At 41.4% G+C, this 21729-nt stretch overlaps 2 protein-coding genes across 65 annotated transcripts in view, besides 2 other annotated features; one reads left to right on the forward strand and one right to left on the reverse strand.

The window, feature by feature from the left end:
• Positions 1–9964, forward strand: part of NSUN7 (NOP2/Sun RNA methyltransferase family member 7) — a 61230-nt gene extending 51266 nt beyond the window's left edge. For 6 of the 10 annotated variants that reach the window (NM_024677.6, XM_017008611.3, XM_017008612.3 and 3 more), the window contains 2 exons: positions 5841–5964; positions 7087–9964. In NM_024677.6, the coding sequence (NP_078953.4) occupies positions 5841–5964; positions 7087–7719 (757 nt within the window). In that variant the 3' untranslated portion in view covers positions 7720–9964. Of the gene's footprint in view, positions 1–5840; positions 5965–7086 lie in introns of those variants that run through there. The other 4 variants (NM_001330648.3, XM_047416171.1, XM_047416175.1 and 1 more) reach the window with 2 other exon arrangements.
• Positions 3501–3620: an enhancer, noted in NCBI's record as "active region_21501". NCBI's record gives its function as "activates an Ori minimal core promoter by ATAC-STARR-seq in GM12878 lymphoblastoid cells {active_cell/tissue: GM12878}" and the evidence as "EXISTENCE:reporter gene assay evidence [ECO:0000049][PMID:35858748]".
• Positions 6446–6946: an enhancer, noted in NCBI's record as "H3K27ac hESC enhancer chr4:40809683-40810183 (GRCh37/hg19 assembly coordinates)". NCBI's record gives its function as "activates a minimal SCP1, AML or CMV promoter by ChIP-STARR-seq in naive H9 embryonic stem cells {active_cell/tissue: H9 hESC(naive)}" and the evidence as "EXISTENCE:reporter gene assay evidence [ECO:0000049][PMID:30033119]".
• APBB2 (amyloid beta precursor protein binding family B member 2) overlaps positions 8807–21729 on the reverse strand; it is a 404516-nt gene continuing 391593 nt past the window's right edge. For all 55 annotated transcript variants that reach the window (XM_047450191.1, XM_047450181.1, XM_047450169.1 and 52 more), the window contains 2 exons: positions 20651–20830; positions 8807–15039 (listed from right to left, as the gene is read on the reverse strand). In XM_047450191.1, coding sequence (XP_047306147.1) covers positions 14872–15039; positions 20651–20830 — 348 coding nt within the window. In that variant the 3' untranslated portion in view covers positions 8807–14871. The remainder of the gene's footprint in view (positions 15040–20650; positions 20831–21729) is intronic.

A 21729-nucleotide genomic window follows, 5' to 3' on the forward strand; every position in this document is an offset into this window, starting at 1 on the left:
ATAACAAGGTAGTGACAGTTATACCTTTTTTGTTAAGTGGGAGAAGGGTATTGTGAATGGTGAAGTGGCTGTAAAAGGTGGCTGTGAAATACAGTTAATGATATTACCTACATCATTAGATCCTTGTGGAGATTGAATATATTAACACACGAGCAGTATCTGGCATATAATAAATGTTCAATAATTTTAAATTGTTATAGTTGTTATTATTTATTTATAAATTTCATGTTCATGTACTTTCCCACTGTTTTCAACTGGATTATTCTTTTTCTTCTTTTCACATGTCTTATTATATATTAGGAAGAGTTGCTGTTTTCATATGAATTACAGATATTTTTCAGATTGTTTATCTTTTTATTTTTAAATAAATACTTGAATTAAAAATTTGCTTTATAGGTTGAGCATGGTGGCTCACGCCTGTAATCCCAGCACTTTGGGAGGCTGAGGTGGGTGGGCCATTTGAGCTCAGGTTTTCAAGACCAGCCTGGGCAATGTGGTGAAACCTCATCTCTACAAAAAAATACAAAAATTAGCCACGTGTGGTGGTGGTGTACTCCTGTAGTCCCAGCTATTCGGGAGGCTGAGGTGGGAAGATTGCTTGAGCCCAAGAGGTTAAGGCTGTAGTGAGCCGAGATCGCATCACTGCACTCCAGCCCGGGTGACAGAGGGAGACTCTGTCTCAAAAAAAAAAAAAAAAAAGAAAAGAAAAGAAAAAGTAATCGCTTTACAGCAATTTCTGTGTAGACATTTGTATCAATGTTTTCCTTATGGATTCTACATTTTGTGTTATGTGAATTCCTAGCTTATGAATGCTTTGATCAGTTTTCTTATAGTACTTTCATAATTTCATCTTTTTTATATTTAAATAATTGAGTTTTCTGCTGTTTATTTTGGTAAGAGAGTCAAGTATGGATCAAGGTTTATTTTTTCCCCAAATAATCTTTCCTTGGCCCCCGTTCCCCTTTGGTTTAAAATGCCATCTTTTAAAATTACGTTTTAAGCCCATATATACTGTGTGGATCTGTAATTCTATTCCATTGACGTTTGGCTCTTTCTATACTAATATGACAATGCTATAACCACTGTAGTTTTGAGTGGGTTTCTTCTCAAATTTTATATTTTTTTTTGTTACATAAACCCCACCCACAATCCAAAGATGCATAATGAAATGGTTAACAATTTCCTTCCTACATCTTGCCACTTCTAGTCCTAAAATATCCCATTAAAGGGATGAAGTAGGGTTCTGGAGGTCCCTTGATGAGCTAGGTCCCTTTTTATTATGTGATGGTCTGGAGGGACACTTGGAGAGCTGGGGTAGCAAGTAGGAGTAAGCCCAGAAATTTTGATATTTTTACTGCTGATACAGCCACACCAGCATGTACCAGCTGAATAGCAACTACATGGATGTGTATGTTTGTTTGTTTTTTTGTATCACACCATAAACTTTTTTATTGAAACCTACAGTAGGAAATACATTTTATATCACAACTCAGAACACAATTACATATATTGCATGAAAAAGTAAGTACCTTTTACCCTGACACTTTGTACTGCATTCTATTCTTTTTTTTTTTTTTTTTAATTAAACTTCAAGTTTCAGGGTACATGTGCACAATGTGCAGGTTAGTTACATATGTATACATGTGCCATGCTGGTGTGCTGCACCCATTAACTTGTCATTTAGCATTAGGTATATCTCGTGCTAACCCTCCCCCCTCCCCCCACCCCACAACAGTCCCTAGAGTGTGATGTTCCCCTTCCTGTGTCCATGTGTTCTCATTGTTCAATTCCCATCTATGAGTGAGAACACGTGGTGTTTGGTTTTTTGTCCTTGTGATAGTTTACTGAGAATGATGATTTCCAATTTCATCCATGTCCCTACAAAGGACATGAACTCATCATTTTTTATGGCTGTATAGTATTCCATGGTGTATATGTGCCACATTTTCTTAATCCAGTCTATCATTGTTGGACATTTGGGTTGGTTCCAAGTCTTTGCTATTGTGACTAGTGCCGCAATAAACATACGTGTGCATGTGTCTTTATAACAGCATGATTTATAGTCCTTTGGGTATATACCCAGTAATGGGATGGCTGGGTCAAATGGTATTTTTAGTTCTAGATCCCTGAGGAATCACCACACTGACTTCCACAATGGTTGAACTAGTTTACAGTCCCACCGACAGTGTTAAAGTGTTCCTATTTCTCCACATCCTCTCCAGCACCTGTTGTTTCCTGACTTTTTAATGATCGCCATTCTAACTGGTGTGAGATGGTATCTCATTGTGGTTTTGATTTGCATTTCTCTGATGGCCAGTGATGATGAGCTTTTTTTCATGTGTATGTTTATATTATGTTATAGATATACATCAAGTATAGGTAACTATTCCTATTTTAATAAGCTTTTTGAGATGTAATTCACATACTATGCAATTCACCATTTTAAAGTGTACAATTCAGTGCCTTAAAATATTAATACATTCACGAAGTTGTACAACAATCACCATTAACTTTTGTATATGATAAGAGTTAGGAGTCCAAATTCCTTCTTTGCGTGTGGTCATCCAGTTCTCCCAGCAACACTTGTGGAAAAGATTATTCTCCCCTATTGAATGGTCTTGGCACCCTTGTTGAAAATCAGTTAGTTAATCCCAGCCTGGGCAACATAGAGAGACCCCATCTCCACAAAAAATCAGCCAGGTGTGGTGGTGCCTACCTGTAGTCCTAGCTACTCAGGAGGTCAAGGCTGTAGTGAGCTGTGATTGGGAGACAGAGCAAAAGCCTGTCTAAAACAAAAAGAAAGAAAATAGAAAACCCACTAATCATAGATGCATGGGCTTATTTCTGGACTCTCATTCTATTCTCATTCTATCCGTTGATTTATATGTCTATACTTAAGCCAACAGCACAATAAGAGGTTTTCAAAATCACTAATGGGGCCGGGCATGGTGGCTCACGCCTGTAATCCCAGCACTTTGGGAGGCTGAGGTGGGCGGATCACCTAAGGTCAGGAGTTCGAGACCAGCCTGGCCAATGTGGCAAAACCCCGTCTCTACTAAAAATAAAAAAATTAGCCAGGCGTGGTGTCAGGCGCCTGTAATCCCAGCTACTTGGGAGGCTGAGGCAGGAGAATCGCTTGAACTAGGAGGCGGAGGTTGCAGTGAGCCGAGATCACGCCATTGCACTCCAGCCTGGGTGACAGAGCAAGACTCCATCTCAAAAAAAAAAAAAAATCACTAATGGATGCCTAGTTTTATGAAAAGCCTTTGCAGCATTTAATGATATGATCAGATATTATTTCTCATCTGACATTTTAACATGGTAGTGAATTACATTTAGTAATTACATTTTCCAATTTTCTATTAGAAAATTACATTTTCTAATAGTGAACAGTCTTTGAGCTTGAGGTCTAGGTTGTGTTCTGTGTTTTGATTTTCTGTTACCTAGTAAGAGTGGAGGGCACGAAGGTGAGCAGTGCATGAGAGGTCTTAGTGTGCACGCACCAGAGTACATGCTTCTCTGGTCTTAGTACTCATTATGGTCATCAGTATCTGCACATGCCTGGCTTCTGGTGGTTAATTTGCTCACCTGGTCTCTCTTGTTTCAGGATCCTATTATTTTCATTGCTGTCAATGAGCCCAGTTGTGTCACTGCATCCCCTACTGTCAGCCCTGGCCTGCAGAGGAAAACCACCACCAAACCTCTCAGTGCTGTGGTGCCCCTCTCACCAGGCCATTCCTTGCTGCTTGATAGTGGGTGTACTTTTGGGACCCTCCTCTCAACATAGCCTTCTGGTGGGTTTTCCAGCCTTAATAGTGTTATCCACGGCAGCGAGCTCACTTCTCTGTCCTCTTGTTCCTTCTTCTACTGCTTGCCATCTGCAGCCTGGCATTGCTTCCTCACCAAGTGTGAGCCATTGTGTGTTTGTTTTCTTTTTAAGAAATTACCTCAAACTTAGTGGCTAAAAACATCTATTACTTAGGTCACATAAGTCAGATATATCTGGCATGGCACAGCCAGGTTCTCTGCTCAGGATATGAGCTAGGCTGAAGTCTCTGGAGGCTCTGGGAACAGTTTACTTCCAAACCCACGCTTGTGTTTGCGGGACTGAGGTCCTCGTCTCCTTGCTGCTGTCACTTGACTGCTTTCCACTCCTAGAGGCCACTTTATTCCTTGTCCCGAGTTCCCCAATCTGTGCACCTGCAGTAGCTGTCATAGCATCTTGTGTTTTGAATCTCTGACTTCTTCCATGTCTGACCTCTAGACCCTGATTTCAAAGGTCATGTGATTAGGTCAGATCCACCCAGATAATATCCCTATCTTCGGGGTAACTAACGTGGGACCTATCCTACATCTGCAAAATCCCCTTTGTCATGTGTGTTAGTTTCCTGGGCTGCTGAAAGAAATTCCTCCAAACTTGGTGGCTTATGATAACAAACATTTATTCTCTCATAGTTCCGGAGGCTGGGAGTCCTAAACCAAGGCATTGGCAAGGTGCTGGCCGGTTGGATTCCTCCTGGGGCCTGTGCTGGAGAGGCCTGTCCCCTGCGCTCTCCCAGCTTGTGGTGGTTGCTGGCTGTCCTTGCTGTTCTTTGGCTTGTAGCTGTGTCACATGGACACTATTATTATTATTATTATTGAGATGGAGTCTTGCTCTGTCACCCAGGATGGAGTACAGTGGTGTGATCTCAGCTAATTGCAACCACCACCTCCTGGGTTCAAGTGATTCTCCTGCCTCAGACTCCCAAGCAGCTGAGATTAAAGGCACCTGCCACCACACCTGGCTAATTTTTGTTTTTTTGAGCCAGAATTTCACTTTTGTTGCCCAGGCCGGAGTGCAATGGTGCAATCTTGGCTTGAACCTCTCAGGTTCAAGCAATTCTCTTGCCTCAGCCTCCCGAGTAGCTGGGATTACAGGAGTCTGCCACCACACCCGGCTAATTTTTGCATTTTTAGCAGAGACGGGGTTTCACCATGTTGGCCAGGCTGGTCTCGAACTCCTGGCCTCAAGTGATTTGCCTGCCTCGGCCTCCCAAAGTGCTGGGATTACAGGCGTAAGCCACGGCACCTGGCCAGGACACAATGATTAATAAAAGATTTCCTGATAGTTTAACTCATGTGGAATAGTGTTTAATTGCTTTAACTTATTATTAAATATATTTTAATAATATAAGCCTGGAAATAGAATCATTTATTATTCATGATGAACCACTTACTAAGAAATGATAAATTCATATTAAACATAAAAACTGAAATTTTCATTTTAAATCTATTCATGATTTGAGATTTTTCTGACACAAAGTCTTTGTTATGTACTTTCTTGAACACTATGTAACTCATCTATTAATCCTCAAAAAGTGACTGGGAAGAATAATGTAATTAAAGTGATAGGCTATATTTTTATATTGTAATTGTGCAAAAAGTAACCAAAAGAAAACGTTTTCTCCTTTGTATTTTGAAAATGGTAGAAATATAGGACATTTTGGATAACTGTGATTAATGTACATATTTACCTGCTTTGATAATGGAAAGCTTTTACTGCCATATTAGTGACTTTGGGAAGGTCAGTTTTTAGTTTGTTAAACATTTGTTATTCTTGGCATAGTTGGTTAAAGATGGAGAATCTGGGATTTATAATAAATTATGAATATAAAATATTAGAGCTTTTAACTTATAATAGTATTTAGGGAAAGGCTGCTTCAGAATTGTGTTCTTGATTGGAATTTCTGTTTAAACGATTGGTAAAGTATACTAGAAAAAAATGTAGTGTAATTTACTTTCTTCCTCTCTTGGCAAAGAAGCCATTCTAACTGCTGAATGCTTGTTCCTGTCTGCTGCAGGCTTAGTCCTCCTGTTCTTCCACTGTGCTCCTTAAAGGAAATTCAATTGTCTACTGATAAATTTTTCAGAATGGAACCATCTGAAATTACCAATGGTTGTTTTCTTTCTATTTTAACAAGGGAGGTAAGGAAAAAAAATCCTAATCCATGTCATACTTTGGAATTAATAAACTACAAAGCCTCATAAGAGGAAGCCAGGAACTTTGCACATTCTGTAAAGATGTGTTTGCATTTCACAAACACATTTCAGCTGAAGGGCAGGAACAAGAATTGGCAAATAAGCCCTGTTCTTTTTTTTTTTTTTTTGAGACAGAGTCTTGCTCTGTAGCCCAGGCTGGAGTGCAGTGGCGTGATCTCGGCTCATTGCAACCTCCGCCTCCCAGGTTCAAGCAATTCTCTGACTCAGCCTCAACCTAGTAGCTGGGATTACAGGCGTCCACCACCATGCCCGGCTAATTTTTTTATTTTTAGTAGAGACGGGGTTTCACCATCTTGGCCAGGCTGGTCTTGAACTCGACTTCATGATCCACTTGCCTCGGCCTCACAAAGTGCTGGGATTACAGGTGTGAACCACCGCACCCGGCCAGCCCTGTTCTTTATACTTCCCCCGAGTGTTCCTCTTCTGCCTGGCTGCCACCCCCACCTCCCCAAGCATTTTGTAACATCTAGTGCATCTTCCCTCATATGTAAGAAATAAGCAGCCAGGCATGGGGGCTCAAGCCTGTAAGCCCAGCACTTTGGGAGGCTGACGTGGGTGGATCACCTGAGGTCAGGAGTTCGAGACCAGCCTGGCCAACATGGTTCACTCCATCTCTACTAAAATACAAAAATCAGCTGGGTGTGGTGGCACATGCCTATAATCCCAGCTACTCAGAAGGCTGAGGCAGGAGAACTGCTTGAACTTGGGAGGTGGAGGTTGCAGTGAGCTGAGATCGCACCAGCCTGGGCGACAAAGCAAGACTCCATCTCAAAAAAAAAAAAAAAAAAAAAAAATCTGTGTGATTCTTTTTTTCTATCAGGTATCAGGTTCATAAATGGGGAAGTTTAAGTTTTTTTTTTGTTTGTTTTTTTAAAAAGGCATTCGCTGAGGCTTATGAGATTGGGGACTAAGGCCTAAAAACTATTTCTTATTTCTTTTAGTATAATAAAGAGAGTCTTTTTATTTTTACTGATACATTGATAAATATTTGCGGGAGACACAATAATAGCTAACTCCCACATTTAGTAAATGCTTCTTTAATTGCAGCGGGACCCTTCTGAGACAGTGTCTGTGAATGATGTTTTGGCCCGAGCTGCAGCCAAGGGTCTGCTGGATGGGATTGAGTTGGGTAAATCATCAAAACGGGAGAAGAAGAAGAAAAAATCAAAAACATCATTGACAAAAGGTGCCACTACTGATAATGGCATCCAAATGAAAATTGCTGAGTTCCTGAATCGAGAAACTAAAGCCAGTGCTAATCTATCAGAGACTGTAACAAAACCACCTCTTCCCCAGAAAAATACTGCTCAAGTGGGGGCTTCCTCACAGACCAGAAAACCCAACAAGCTGGCCCCCCATCCTGCAGTGCCTGCATTTGTGAAGAACACTTGTCCCTCCAGACCGCGTGAACGGCAGACACACTTCTTAAGACCTCGGCCAGAAGACAGAATGGTTGCTCTGAAACCCATCAAGATTGTTCTGCCTCCAGTCTTTATGCCATTTTCAAGTCCCCAAGGGATCAGATCTCGGATGCCAACTCAACATTTGTACTGTCGTTGGGTTGCACCCAAGGCACTTGTGCCCACCTGCCTTCCCACACACTCACTATCCAGAAAAGAGGAAAAGCCTAAAGATGACACACCTTCCTCCCTACTCAGGCCTCCTCGGCGATGGCTTTGATTGTCTTGTGTTTTTTATAGGGGCCAAAGAGCAGTTGATTTTTTTTCAAAGTCTAGTATTTCTCTGAAGATTCTACATCTCTACACAAGATATTCATTCTTTTGGTCACCTAGGGATCTTCTAAGTGTGATATTACTTTCAGAGAATTCAGACAAGTGAGAAACAATAATGTAGGAGTCAGCAAAGCAGAATTCAGAGACTTCAGCCAATCACTGCTGCTCTGAGAGGATCCAGTTAGAGACTCAGTATCAGCGGTCAGAACTTATCTCACTCCTGTGAACTTTCAGGCTGGACTTAAAGCTGCCAAGTTTCCCCTGCAGGGAAGGAAACACTGCCTCCCTTCAGCAGGTAGCTCATTAGAAAGCCAAACAGGCAAACGATCCTGGCCTCTCCCGCCAGCTGACCGCTCTTCAGCATCCATGCGGTTGTAGTCGTGACTTTCTCAGTCACGATCAAGGGTGATTTTTTCTTAAATATCAAGCTGTTCTTTGAACAGGGAATGAACATGAGTTTTTGTAACGTGACTGAAGTTGAGTTTAAGTAGGAAGCGCAGGAAGTTCCCAAGTGCCAGGTGTGTGTAGCTCAGAGTTCCTTTTACAGTGAGGTGTCTCTCACTGGGGGAGCTTCCAGGATCCTGAGCAGACTGGACACAATCATCTCTCCCTTCCTCTATGTCAAGCACTGTTACAAAAGACTGTGAGCAAATTTCCATCTAAATATTAATAATTCTGAAGAAGAGGCAAAACTGTTGAATGCAAGCGATACCTATTGTTGAAGAAACCCACAAATTTCTGATTCTAAGATCAGGGGATACAACAAAATCTACAAGTCATTTCAAATAGCACACAGGAATCAAACTTTGGTAAATCATTTCTGAGGCACAATTAAATATATTGTAGCACTATGTTAATTAATTATATTAAATGTCGATTCATCTTGAATGTATTCTCAATTGCCTACCAAAAATTGGTATGATTATCATTTCTGGGTCTACTGATTTTTCATCATGGCAACAGAAATTGTCATTAAATAGAATTAAGATACAACTATATATCTTATTATTTAAAAACATTCATAGACATATTCATAAAGTTTGAATTTAAAGTTTTATTTTTGCAATTCAGTTGTATAGAAATGTTACATAAATTCCTAAATGCTCAATTCAGGTGGCATGATTTTTAGAATATTATCTTCTTCAAGATGAATACTTAGGTCTACTTCAGCTCTGATATTCTATTTTTACTTTCTTACTTGAAGTGAGAAAAGAGAATGGTGAATTGTATTATAGCGGTAATACATTATTTTTATTTTAGCTTAGATTTACATTTATCAGTAAAACGTGTCAGTGGGCTGGGTGCAGTGGCTCACATCTGTAATCTCAGCAGTTTGGGAGGCTGAGGTGGGCACGCCACTTGAGCACCGGAGTTCCAGACGAGCCTGGACAACATGGCGAAACCCCAAAACCCCATCTCTACAAAAAATACAAAAATTAGCTGGGTGTGGTGGGACACGCCTGTAGTCCCAGCTACTTAGGAGGCTGAGGTACGAGGATCTCTTGAGTCCAGGAGGTGCAGGTTGCAGTGAGCCAATATTGCCCCACTGCACTCCAGCCTGGGAAGCAGAGTGAGACCTTGCCTCAAAAAAAAAAAAAAAAAAAAAAAAGTGTCAATGAAGAAAGGAAACAAGACTTTTTATAGTTGAACCAGGCTTATTGTATTTTAAATCCCTGAAGAAGAATTCTTCATGTTATCACTCTTGTACAGAAAGATATAAAGTGCTCAGCTTATTTTGCTGATTTTGAAAATCAAACACTATCTCCTTGCCCTAAAATTATAGCGTGTGGCTCATCCTCTTATCCCACCCAGATTTCTATCTGGTTGGTTAGGGTAGTCCATGCCTCAAGGAAGGCGGTGCAGCTTAATTTAACATATTGTTCAGTAAAGAATCCCATTGTGTATCATAAGAATCCCTTATCCTTTTCGGGCCCTCCACCATACCAGACTGAAAAGTATTCCATTGTCCAGAAGTAGCTGGTCTTGAGATTTTTATTTTCAAGTGTATTTTCTGTGATGTTGTCTCATTGTTATGGAATAGTTTAGGATAATTTTCTGATCTCTACAGTAGCATGTGAAGTCACAATTTGTTGCCACTTACATTGATTATCTCCTAACATGCATTTGGCACTAAATTATTTTTCTCTTTAGAAGTATATGAAGATTCTGAATTAAACCATTCATTAATTACACTGCAGTTTTCTTCTTTGAGAATCTTCTATGAAGGACAGGATTATTTAAATACTTTGGTAGAGTGAAAAGGGAAAAGAATTTTGGATAAAAGCAATATGAGGCCGGACGTGGTGGCTCACATACTTTGGGAGGTTGGGGCGGGCGGATCACCTGAGGTCAGGAGTTCGAGACCAGCCTGGCCAACGTGGCGAAACCCTGTCTCTACTAAAAATATACAAATTGGCCAGGCGTGGCGGTGCATGCCTGTAATCCCAGCTACTCAGGAGGCTGAGGCGAGAATTGCTTGAACTTGGGAGGTGGAGGTTGTGGTGAGCTGAAATTACACCACTGCACTCCAGAGTAAGACTCCTCTGTCTGAAGAAAAAAAAAAAAAGCAATATGAGGGAATTCTAATGAAGGAGAATATTGATTCCACTGACATGTTTCATTTGGCATTTTACATTCTTGGACTTCTTCTTGAGATAAAAGTGCTGCAAAATTCTAAATAATGAAATTACTAGTATTCAGATACTCCAATAGCAAACACATTTTTAATCTGAAATTATTTACCACCATATAATGCCTGAAACCATAATGAAATTTTGTTACTGACTAGAGAGAAACCACTGTGGAAGTGCAAGATGAACAAAAAGCGGGGACATACTTTAAATTCTGTTTATCTGCCTTCCTGCGCCTAACAGTTAAGCTAAACCAGATTCAACTGATTTCTCTAGTTACCTTTCATTTTGGATTTAGTGTGTGTACACCTCTATTCTTTATTCTTTGATGTCAGGTTCTTAAAGGAAGTGATAAACTTCTTCGTGCTAAAATATCACAATCCTAGCAAGACCGCTTACAAAAGACTCGAGTTGGTGACTAAATAGGCTTCTATGTCCGGAAGGCCAGCTGGCCTTCCTGATCACCAAATAAGTACAGGGTGATTACTCAAAATTTGAAGTTACTTCCTAGTTCTTACCAGGCAGAAATATGTAGTAACTAATCAAAGCAAAATGCTCCATTACTAAAGTGATTTCTAAGAAGTCTGAGGTAAGAATAATTTAAAAATAACTAGAGACACCGAGTTTCTATTTCTATTCCTTGTATATGTGACTAAGATGTCAGATAAATGAGCCGAACGTTTTATGCAGCTAAATTTATTCTCACAACAAATTACATTTAAATGTGTAAAAGTGGTCAACAGGAAAAGGGCATAAAGGAAAACAAAGCGTTCTTTCAGGGGAAGTAAGCTGCTCTGGAGGCCAGGAACTACTGCTTGCGTTGACACGGTGTGAGTGGGTATCTTTGCCCTGAAGCTGAAGTTAAACTTTCTACTGGCCGTGTGGCACACACGTTAGATGTGTATTAGGTTAAGCCTGGCCAACTAGAGAGCGAAGGGGCTTATTAGTTAAATTGTGCTAATATCAGTTAGGAAAATGCTTGTCATGTTGTGGTGAAATCTTGAGGAGTTTGTGTTGCAATGCCTGGGACATGAACGGGCCATACAAACAGAGGAAAGCTCTGGGGCTTCCAGGCAATGGCCTTGTGTCGAGTCATCTTACAAGTGTCCATCTTGAAATCATAAAGTGGATTTAAAAAGAAGTAGCAGTGCCACAGTTTATCACCAAGAACTTATTTTAATGGAAATGGGTCTAATGTCCCTTCATGCAACAAGACAGATGAACAAAAAACAATGGTCCTAATTAGCTATGAGTGATCTTGTATCCAGGTGGAAACAAAGGGCATGTGTACATGTATATATCTCTTAGATGAAATCACACATGTTGTGAAGGGTAGAAAAACGAAGCACCAAGCAGTGCTTTAGTCTGCAAAGGAAAGTTTTTAGCCATAGGCATGTTGGCTAGTCGTTCCCCTTGATGTTGCCAAGGAGCAGATGTATGAGGTGGCAAGTCTGTGTCTATCTAGCTGCTTTTAAAAAATAAAAGGAACTTTAAGCATTTTGCCTTTTCTTCTACATATCCCAATAGAAATGTGACTACAAATCATTACAAAACCACTTTTTAGGCAATGTATAGTTCACTGAGATTACTTAGATCTGGATACACTGGGAGATAATATCCAGGAAAGATAATACATTAACACAATAATGCAGTATATTTCAGTAAAAATAGAATAAATAAAATAAAAATATTTTAAGCTGTATTTAACAGGTTAATTAAAAATATGGTAAGACATAGAAGGCATCGTGAACATGGCTGCCTGTTTACCGAATCACAGATCTAAAGAATGCATAGATAACTGAAGTGTCACTAAGATATCAGGTAAAACATTGGCATCCTTTTACAAACAAATACACACATACTTTCATACATACTTTTTGGCCATGGCAGAAAGTGTCTGAACATACTCTTTAACATAATTTTACAAAATTAATTTGCATTTACTATACAATGCCATTTTCAAAACAAAACGTCTGCAAAGTTTTCAATATGTAAAGGCTATCATTCATCTTAATGCATCCTATAATTGCACATATAAATCAGTTTGCTACTTAAAGCTAGCTCAGAATTCTTGATCTTGAAAACAAGCAAATGTATGCCTTAAAAAATGAAGAGGGAGTTCTGGTAGAGATTTCCAATATAAAAGTGGGTAATTTGTTTAGAATTTTGAAATTTATCACACTAAAATGTTTCACTACAGCGACCGAGATGAAAGATCACTGTAAATGATTTCTGAACAGCTTTTCAAAGGGCACAGCAAGGATTTTCTTAATGCAGTAATTTCTTATGATGGCACTGGTTACTTCAGATCAGTAGTATGTCAATTGGTGAAAAACAGACTGCGTTTCTAAAGTAGCATAGTTTTGTCATAACATTGGGGTGCTAAGACAATTCCGGTCCCCCTGTCCCCCACCCCTCATGAATTCTGAGGGAATGGCAGGTAGAAAAGCCACCCACTCATTCCATCATGATCTCTGGTGGCTAAGTACCATGAGTTAGGAATGTCTACCACAAGTAGCATCTGGAAAATCTCGTAGATGGAACAGGCTGTGAATGTAGAATCCTGCCCTCTACAACACTTTTGAGGCACGCTGTAGGAAAACAGTCCTGGACTTAGATAGGGCACCATCATGAATACCACTGCGTAAGGAATTTGGACATCTTTCTCCCACTCGTGTAGGGAATTCTAAGATTCCCTGACAATAGATCTTTCCATACCTGCTCTTCTTAGTATATGCCCAGAATCATTCTGGAAAGGCTCTTCCTGACGGATATGGAGGCAGCACAACACAGCAAGAACGGGCTTTGGGAGCCGTGGGTCCTAGTCCTGGTTTTCATGAACTTTGGTGAGATCTTAGGCCAGTGGGTTTAGCCTCTCGGTACTTCATATTTTTACTTCTAAAGTGTATTTAGTACCTTCTCTACCTGGTAAGGCTCAGATGTGATAAGAATGTGGAAACCATTTTGACAAGTACATAGCAGTGTATAAACATAAAGCATTACTTTTATAATTGGATGTTGTAAATGTTAATTTTGACATTAAGAAGAAGTAAACAAGACTAATATTGAGATTGATCGCCTTAGCAACTTCCTTTTAAAACGACAATGTCAACGAGAGTCTAAATTTGTATGTCTTTCCAGCTAAGTTTCTCACCTACATACGAAGGAGCAGGAAAATGCTGTTTTGGGAAACTTGTTAAACAGTCCATTACTCCTGTGTAGACTTTGCTCAGGTATGAACATTTCAAATCTTCAAAGTAAAATGGAAAAAATATAAATTAAAAAATATATCTAGTTGAGTCCAACAAATTCTAATATTAAATACATAAAATCAAGGAAAGGTTCAACCTAATGTAATTTGTTGCCATGGACAATACATGATGGACAGACAGCTTTCTGGGCAAAAAGCATCAGAGGGGGATAGAGCTGGATGCAGAATTCCAGCAGAACGTTTACCTCTAGCACATGGACTAGCAAAAATCACACGGTGGTAGAAATCTAAAATAATCGTGCATGATAGAAATATCAATGATATTTCCTCAACTTCAAATTGCATATCAGCTAATTCTCAAACTAAGGATGAAAGGCTGATGAGGAGTATTTCATCTTAATGTTTATGTAGAGAATGGCCATAGTGAACTATAATTCTCTAGCTGCACCGTACAATATAAGGCAGAAGTTTGAAATATGTCCCACCCAAAATGCATTATGATTTTATTAATCTCTTTTAAAAATAATCAGTTTGAAAACCATCGGAAAAGAAAGGCTATGTTTTGTTCGATTTTAATTCCTCGAATTTAGTTTTTCATCAATTTTGAAGTTTCATTTTTTTCCAACATCCCACAAACAGCTGTAGACATGAAATGGTGTCCATGTGTCAAAGAGCTTGTCAGGGAAAGCTGCCAGTTGGTTTCTATACTGATGCCAACAGCCAATTTTGTCAACCAACAGGTTCAATTTTATGAAAAATTAAAACACAAACTCGCCATCCTATTTTTACAGCAATTCAATGGTATCTGCTATGCAGTGCCTACTCCAATGTTGAAAACAGGGCAAAGTGCTGTAGGACTTAAAGGTTGCTTGTGACAGGTCCAGCCAAGAAGACAGTGAAACTAACTCACGCATCATTCATTCCAAGGACGCAGCGTTAGTTCACTAGGAGGGGTGGGGCCACACTCTTCTCTGTGTGTGTGTGAAGTTAAGTAATGTTCACAATATTTACAATAAGAAAAAGACCTTCCACTGCGCATGATGTAACTTACAGCAAAAAAAATTATTCATGCTTCTTTTCATATCACATGATGGTGGCAAGACGAGAGAACATGCTTGTCTAACACTGCTTGGTTAAGGGTAAATTCTCTGAAGACAAAGCATCAGCAACTGGATGGAAGGTCGGATGGCGGAGTTCATTTTCTTTAGTGTAGCTAGTCAATCTTCAGGTAAATAGCCGAGTCCTTTTGCATGTGCAGCTATGGCATTTCGGTGACAGGGCGTTTCTGTTTCAAAGTGTCAATGAGGGATAAGACCCCTCGTTTTACATTGGTTGTGACTCTTCTGGTTACTGAATCTGCTGGCGGTGGAGGTGGTCGAACTTTCTGAGAAGGCGGCCTGGCTACCAAGCACTTCTGATATCGTAACTGAAATAAAACAAAACGTGTTTTAAGGTAATTAACAACATATTATTTCATCTTTAATATGACTTTAAGTCATGACCCATAATACATTGACTCCCAAAGGTTAACGACCTAGTTCCTAAACATAAATCCAAGAGTTATTTTTCTCTGAATGTGAGTGCTTTAAATTCTCCTAAAAGATTAGGCTCAACAAAGGGGTTTTGGCTTTTGCCACCCTTTCCTTCCATCCATTTCCACCCTCCACGTGTCCTCTATATTGATAGTCCGCAACGAATACACCTCACAGTCAATGAGCTAATGAAACCAGAAAGGATTGGGAGAGAGTGTGTTAATTACATTTTTCATCAGAGACATGCAAATCTAGGCAGGTGCTCATGGTACACTGACAGCACAGTAGAAAGGGCATAGTTTAAGGTCTATCACTTGTGAACCCCAGACGAATTATTAAATCTCTCTGAGCCTCAGTTTCTTCAACTGTAAAATGGCTGAAGAAAGGACTATTTACAGAGGGTGTTATGATTAAGTAAGTAATACTTGTAATGCTTGTGGAATGCCTGAAATAGGCCTAGCAACACAGAAGGCATTCAGAAATGTTTGTTTCCTTCCCTATTTCCTGTTTTAATTAAAAAGATGAGGTATTAAGATTTCAAGATACATGGTACATACAAGTCTAAATCTTTATGGATTAATTTTTAAAAATCCATTAGCACTGGCACCAGGGATAATTCCTGTTCTTCAGAAATATAACAATGTAGTCCACCTGGTTTTGCATAATGGGAAGATAACTAATTCTTTAAGATTAGATAAAAAGTTAAAATTTATCAAATTTTTTTTTTTCTAATCCAAACGTTTTAAAATACAGTTGACCTGGCCAGTCATGGTGTTTCACTCCTGTAATCCTAGCACTTTGGGAGGCTGAGGGAGGCGGATCACTTGAGCCCAGGAGTTTGAAACCGGCCTGGGCAACATGGTGAAACCGTGTCTCTACAAAAAATACAAAAATTAGCCAGGTGTGGTGGCACATGCCTGTGGTTCCAGCTACTTGGGAGGCTGAGGCGGGAGGATTGCTTCAGACTGGGAGGTCAAGGCTGCAGTGAGCTGTGAGCATGGCCACTGCACTCCAGCCTGGGCGACGGAGTGAACCCTGTCTCAAAATAAATAATGAAAAAAAAATACAGCTGATCTTTGAACAACAGAGTTTGAACTGTGCAGGTCCACTTATATGAGGATTTTTTTTCAACCAAACACAGATTGAAAATAGTATTCCTGGTATGCAAAACCCAATTACTCAGAGGGCAGACTTCTCCTATGCGTGGGTTCTGCAGGACCTGAATATGTAGGATTTTGGTATACTCAGAGGTCCTAGAACACCTCCACCCCGCCCCACGTATACCAAGGAAGGACTGTCACTCCATGGCTTTTTTAAAAAAAATCAACTTAAATATTAACAGGCTCTTTAGTAATGGAATAGGCTGATGTCCCTGTAAAAAGCAAGACCCTGGGGGAAGGATATGGTACAGTGTTCTATCATACCCCTTAGGCCACAAAACAACCCCTTTCAAATCAATCATATGAAATATGATGATTGATTACACGTCTCCTCTGTGTAAGGTATTTTACTAGGCCCACATCACAACCCAAACCACACACATCGAAAGCACGGATTTATACATGGCAACATGGGACTCTGGACTTGGAATTTCAAATAGTAGTCACGTACATCCAGTGTGAATCAAAACCACACCTAAGTGTTGGAATTCATAAAGGGTCCCTCTCTGTTCTATTCTAAATTTTGCCAAAATGTCTTCTGTTGGGCCTATACCACACAGCTGTAAAATATGCCTAAAAATTAAGCAGATTCAAAAGAACGTTAGTGTCAATAGATATTCACATGGTATAAATTCACATACGGACCATTCAGAGGAGAATCATGCGGATTTGAACTAAGAAGAAAGCCCCTGAGCTAGAAACACTGGATTCAGAGCGGGCAGGAGAGAAGAATGGTTTGATTTTACTAGTATGCCTTATACTAGATTGGCTGAGCTGTGTCCACTCGTTGCAGTGATACAATTAAAATAGGAAGCAAATGAGTAAAAGTTGTTTCCAAGAGGGAAAATGAATTGAGAATCAGAAAACCAACTGTAGCCAAAGAGATAAAACTCATTGTCGTTATCACTTAAACGTATAATTAAGTCGGAAAGCCATTCATTTTATGACTAAAACCATCTGCTATGATCTGTTTCAATTTCATAAAATACCAAAATAGTTGTCATCCATTTTCGCTTGGCTGAAATCTCCCATTTTCTATTTTCTTCACAGATCTCCTTTATCTCATCAACTCCCTGTACCTGGTCAGTGGGTTCACCTGACTCCTCTACTGTCCCTGCTCCCCTGAACCCCAGCCCTGCTCCTGCATATTCAGGGTGTCTGAGTTAGAATCCTGGCCCTACAGTTCTTGCAGGGAGTTAGCCACTCTCACAGAGGATGGTGTAAGTGTGACACCAGATAACAAGTGTTCAACGCCAGGCCTCCCCTTCTCCCTCCTTCCTGCTCTATTTCAAATGATAAAGGTCAAATGCCTCTTTTCTACGCCCCACCTTTGCAATCTGCTCTCCCACCTCATCCTTTTAACATTTTTATTAGACATAGGGCCTTTCTATGTTGCCCAGGCTGGACTTGAACTCCTGGGCTCAAGGGGTCCTCTCATCTCAGCCTCCTGAGTAGCTGGGACTACAGGTGCAAACTTTCCCTTCATTCATAACCTCACAATGTGCTGTATGGGGTGGGGGGGCGGCGGTCAGAGAACTCCCTTTCCTTCCCCAAGCTCCACCCATTCTTGGTTCTTAGCATCTTCTGGACTATGTCAAAGTAAAAGGTCTCTCTAACTAATTCGTAGGCTAAGTCCCTCCCCTTGGCTCTCTTTTTTTTTTTTCTTTTTTTTTTTTTTGAGACAGGGTCTCACTCTTTCACACAGGCTGAAGTGCAGTGGTGCAATCTCAGCTCACTGCAACCTCCACCCCCAAGTTCAAGCCATCCTCCCACCTCAGCCTCCCTGAGTAGCTGGGACTACAGGTACATGCCACCACGCTCGGCTAATTTTTGTATTTTTTGGTAGAGATGGGTTTCACCATGTTGGCCAGGCTGGTCTCAACCTCCTGACCTCAAGTGATCCGCCCGCCTCAGCCTCCCAAAGTATTGGGATTACAGGCGTGAGCTACTGTGCCCAGCCTCCTCCACTCTTTATCTACCTCCATTTTCCACAAAAGAAAACCTAGCTGGGCATGGTGGTGCTCCCCTGCCGTTCCAGGGAGGAGTTCAAGACCAACCTGGGGAATATAGCAAGATCCCATCTCTTAAAAAAAATAAAATAAAATAAAAATAAAGAATAAAAAAGGGGCAGGCCTCTCCTGTCCTGAAATAAACACATGAACAAACCCTCCAATGCTGCCCTTCAAGCTCCCCCTCACTGGCAAACTTTGTAAGTTATCTGCTTTTAGGGCCTCCACTTCTTTTTCTTCCCAGTTACTTCTCAATCCAGCACAGTCTCATACTTATTTTTCTTATTTATTTTTTTGAGACAGGGTCTCGCTCTGTCACCCAGGCTGGACTACAGTGGTGCCATCGTAGCTCACTGCACCTCGACCTCCTGGGTTTGAGCCATCCTCCCACCTTAGCCTCCTCAGAAGCTGGGACTACAGGCATGTGCCACCACGCCCGGCTGAAAGTGAAGATCCTCATACTTTTATTTACAGCACTTTCTACACTGTAACAGAGTTTAGGTTTCTGTGTCTCCCCCACTATACCTGAGCTCTACAATGCAAGGACTGTATCTCAGTCATGCTGAATGCCCCAGATTCCAGCCCGTAAGTGCGAGGCTGAATTAAATGAAGCCCAGGGGCTTCACATGCAGCAGTTCTCCCCCAGCCAGGCAGCTCGGTGCTTCTCAAAGCCTCTGCTCCTGTTTGTTCCCAACGCTGCTCTCCTAGCGTGGACGCTCCTCCTCTCTCCCATCTGCAGAAGGTAACTGGGCTCCTGGCTGATCGCCACCTCAGCCTTGTTCCTCCAACCTATCCTCTACTTGGTTGTCTTCTTTTTTTGCTGGATACTCGTCTAAAATCTAAATACAGGCTGGGTGCGGTGGCTCATGCCGGTAATCCCAGCACTTGGGAGGCTGAGGCGGGTGGATTACCTGAGGTCAGGAGTTTGAGACCAGCCTGGCCAACATGATGAAGCCCCATCTCTACTAAAAATATAAAAAATTAGCCAGGCGTGGTGGCAGGTGCCTGTAATCCCAGCTATTTGGGAGGCTGAGGCAAGAGAATCACTTAAACCCAGGAGGCGAAGGTTGCAGTGAGCTGAGATCGCGCCATTGCACTCCAGCCTGGGCAACAAAAGCAAAACTTCATCTCAATAAATAAATAAATAAATAATCTAAATACAATCAATTCAATCCCCAGTTTAGCAATCCTTGCTGAAGAAAATCAGGCCCCCACACGCCATCATCATAAGCCCGCCATGATCTGGACCGCACCTCCTTCCACTCGGGCCCAGCACCCAACCTGCTGCTGCTGGAACACACCTGCCCACAGGCTTTGGTGCCCACACTCATATAGCTCCCTCATTTTTTTTTGAGATGGGTTTCCCTCTTGTTGCCCAGGCTGGAGTGCAATGACGCGATCTCGGTTCACTGCAACCTCTGCCTCTCAGGTTCAAGTGATTCTCCTGCCTCAGCCTCCCGAGTAGCTGGGATTACAGGGATGCGCCACCACGCTGGCTAATTTTGTATTTTTAGTAGAGACAGGGCTTCTCCATTTGGTCAGGCTGGTCTTGAACTTCTGACCTCAAGTGATCCGCCTGCCTCAGCCTCCCAGAGTGTTGGGATTACAGGCGTAAGCCACCACCCCCGGCCCAGTTCCCTCATTTTTATTAGAACTTTTGCAGTGTCTGGCATAAGAGGGGCACAAAGACACATGCTGAAGGAATAATGAGGGATTCTTGTTTGTTTCCAAGTATCCATGTGGTATAAAGAGCTCTGACTTTGTCACCTGGCAGCTTGGGGCTGAATCCAGGCTCGGCTCTGTCACTTACCGACAAGCCCTGAGGCCCATTCTCTAACTTCCCTAAAGTCTCTATTTTCTCATAAATAAAACAGAACTAACAACTACCTAACAGAGTTGTCGGAAGGACTGAGTTAACAGATATAAATAAAATATATAAGAACGGTGTACAGAAACCAATCACTGGAAACAAAAGTCATTCAATGTATTGATTTTTAAAGTACTGAATTGAACCCAAACAGTACCAACTCATACACGACCAACATTTCACACATGAAATTGATTTGGGATCAAGGATTGACCGTCGTCAAGGTGGTGGTTATGAAACTCATCGGAGCCTCTATCTGGCCCCACTTCTTTCAGGAGTTCTGGCCTTTGGAGATGTAATCTGTTTATCATAACTGATTCTGGCCCTAGGAATGACGGCGTTATAAAGTAAAGCATTACTTTAGGGATTCGACTTTTTTCATTTCCGTGAGTGATTCTGCTATAATGTATGGCATATTAGAGATGAGCAGAGGCGGGAGGGCTCAACAGCCTGTACCGGGATAACTCACCATGCAGGCGGCCTGCACCGCCTCAGACACGTTACCAGCATTAGGCTCGCACCAGAAAACGTGGCACTCAAAGCGCTGGTTCCCCGTGTCCATGATGAAGGCAAATGTGTGGACGTCCTTCCCAACACCCATGAAGGACAGGAATCGCACACGACATTCCACTAAGACTTCCTCTTCATTCTGCAAGAGACATTATGCGGCATCCAATCAGGAGATCCCAGGATCAAGCTTAAGAGTGGCAGCACATAGGAACTGGCATTCAGAAAGTATAGCCAGGCCGAATTCAGAAAGGACCTGTGTTTTTCTCGAAAGGCGGAACCTTGCCCAAATGTCTGAAGAGGCCATCACTGCATGGCTACCCTGTTCTGGAGGTCATTCTTGCTCTGAACTACACTGCTGTCATGGGGTGTGATGTGGGTCCCATTCTCCATTATGCTACGTGGCTGTGAGTTCACTGTGGGGAGGGACAGTGCCGTCCATACTTCTTACATCTAGCCCAAATACAGGACACCTGGTGGCCCAAAACCCATTTGGCCAAGTAAACCCCCAGAGCACCAGAAAAAAGGGATTCACGGTATCTTTCTTCGTCCAGTGATTCTTACCCAAACTAAACAGCACACTGAATCACATTTCCATCTAAAACCATATAAAACAAAAAGCTGCCAAATCAACAAAAAGTTGTCAAATTGTTTTTTTCTTTTCTCTCTTGCAAACTGGTGTCCATCTGGGATCCACATGAGGCAGCGTAAAGAAATGTTCAGAATTCTTTCTCATAGGGATGAACACCACATCCTTTGCAAGAACCATATGCAAGTTTTGAATTAATAAACACATCCAAAATGTTGACTTTTGGATCATTAACATCTTGACTAATTAAATATTCACTCTAGTGCCTTGGGAGTGTTTAATGAGCAAAGTACACTAGTGTGAGAGGTCGGGAAGTTTTCTCAGGAGGAAGGAGGCTGTGGTGGTGATCTGGGTAAGGGTCGGGTAGGCAGAGGGTGGAGCATGGAGGGTGCAGTGCTTGCGATGATGCTGGTGTGGGGAAGGGCGGGACCTACTTGAAGAGGTGAGGAGAG

The sequence above is a fragment of the Homo sapiens genome, chromosome 4, assembly GCF_000001405.40.
Source record: "Homo sapiens chromosome 4, GRCh38.p14 Primary Assembly".
In the NCBI taxonomy this organism is placed as follows: Eukaryota; Metazoa; Chordata; class Mammalia; order Primates; family Hominidae; genus Homo; species Homo sapiens.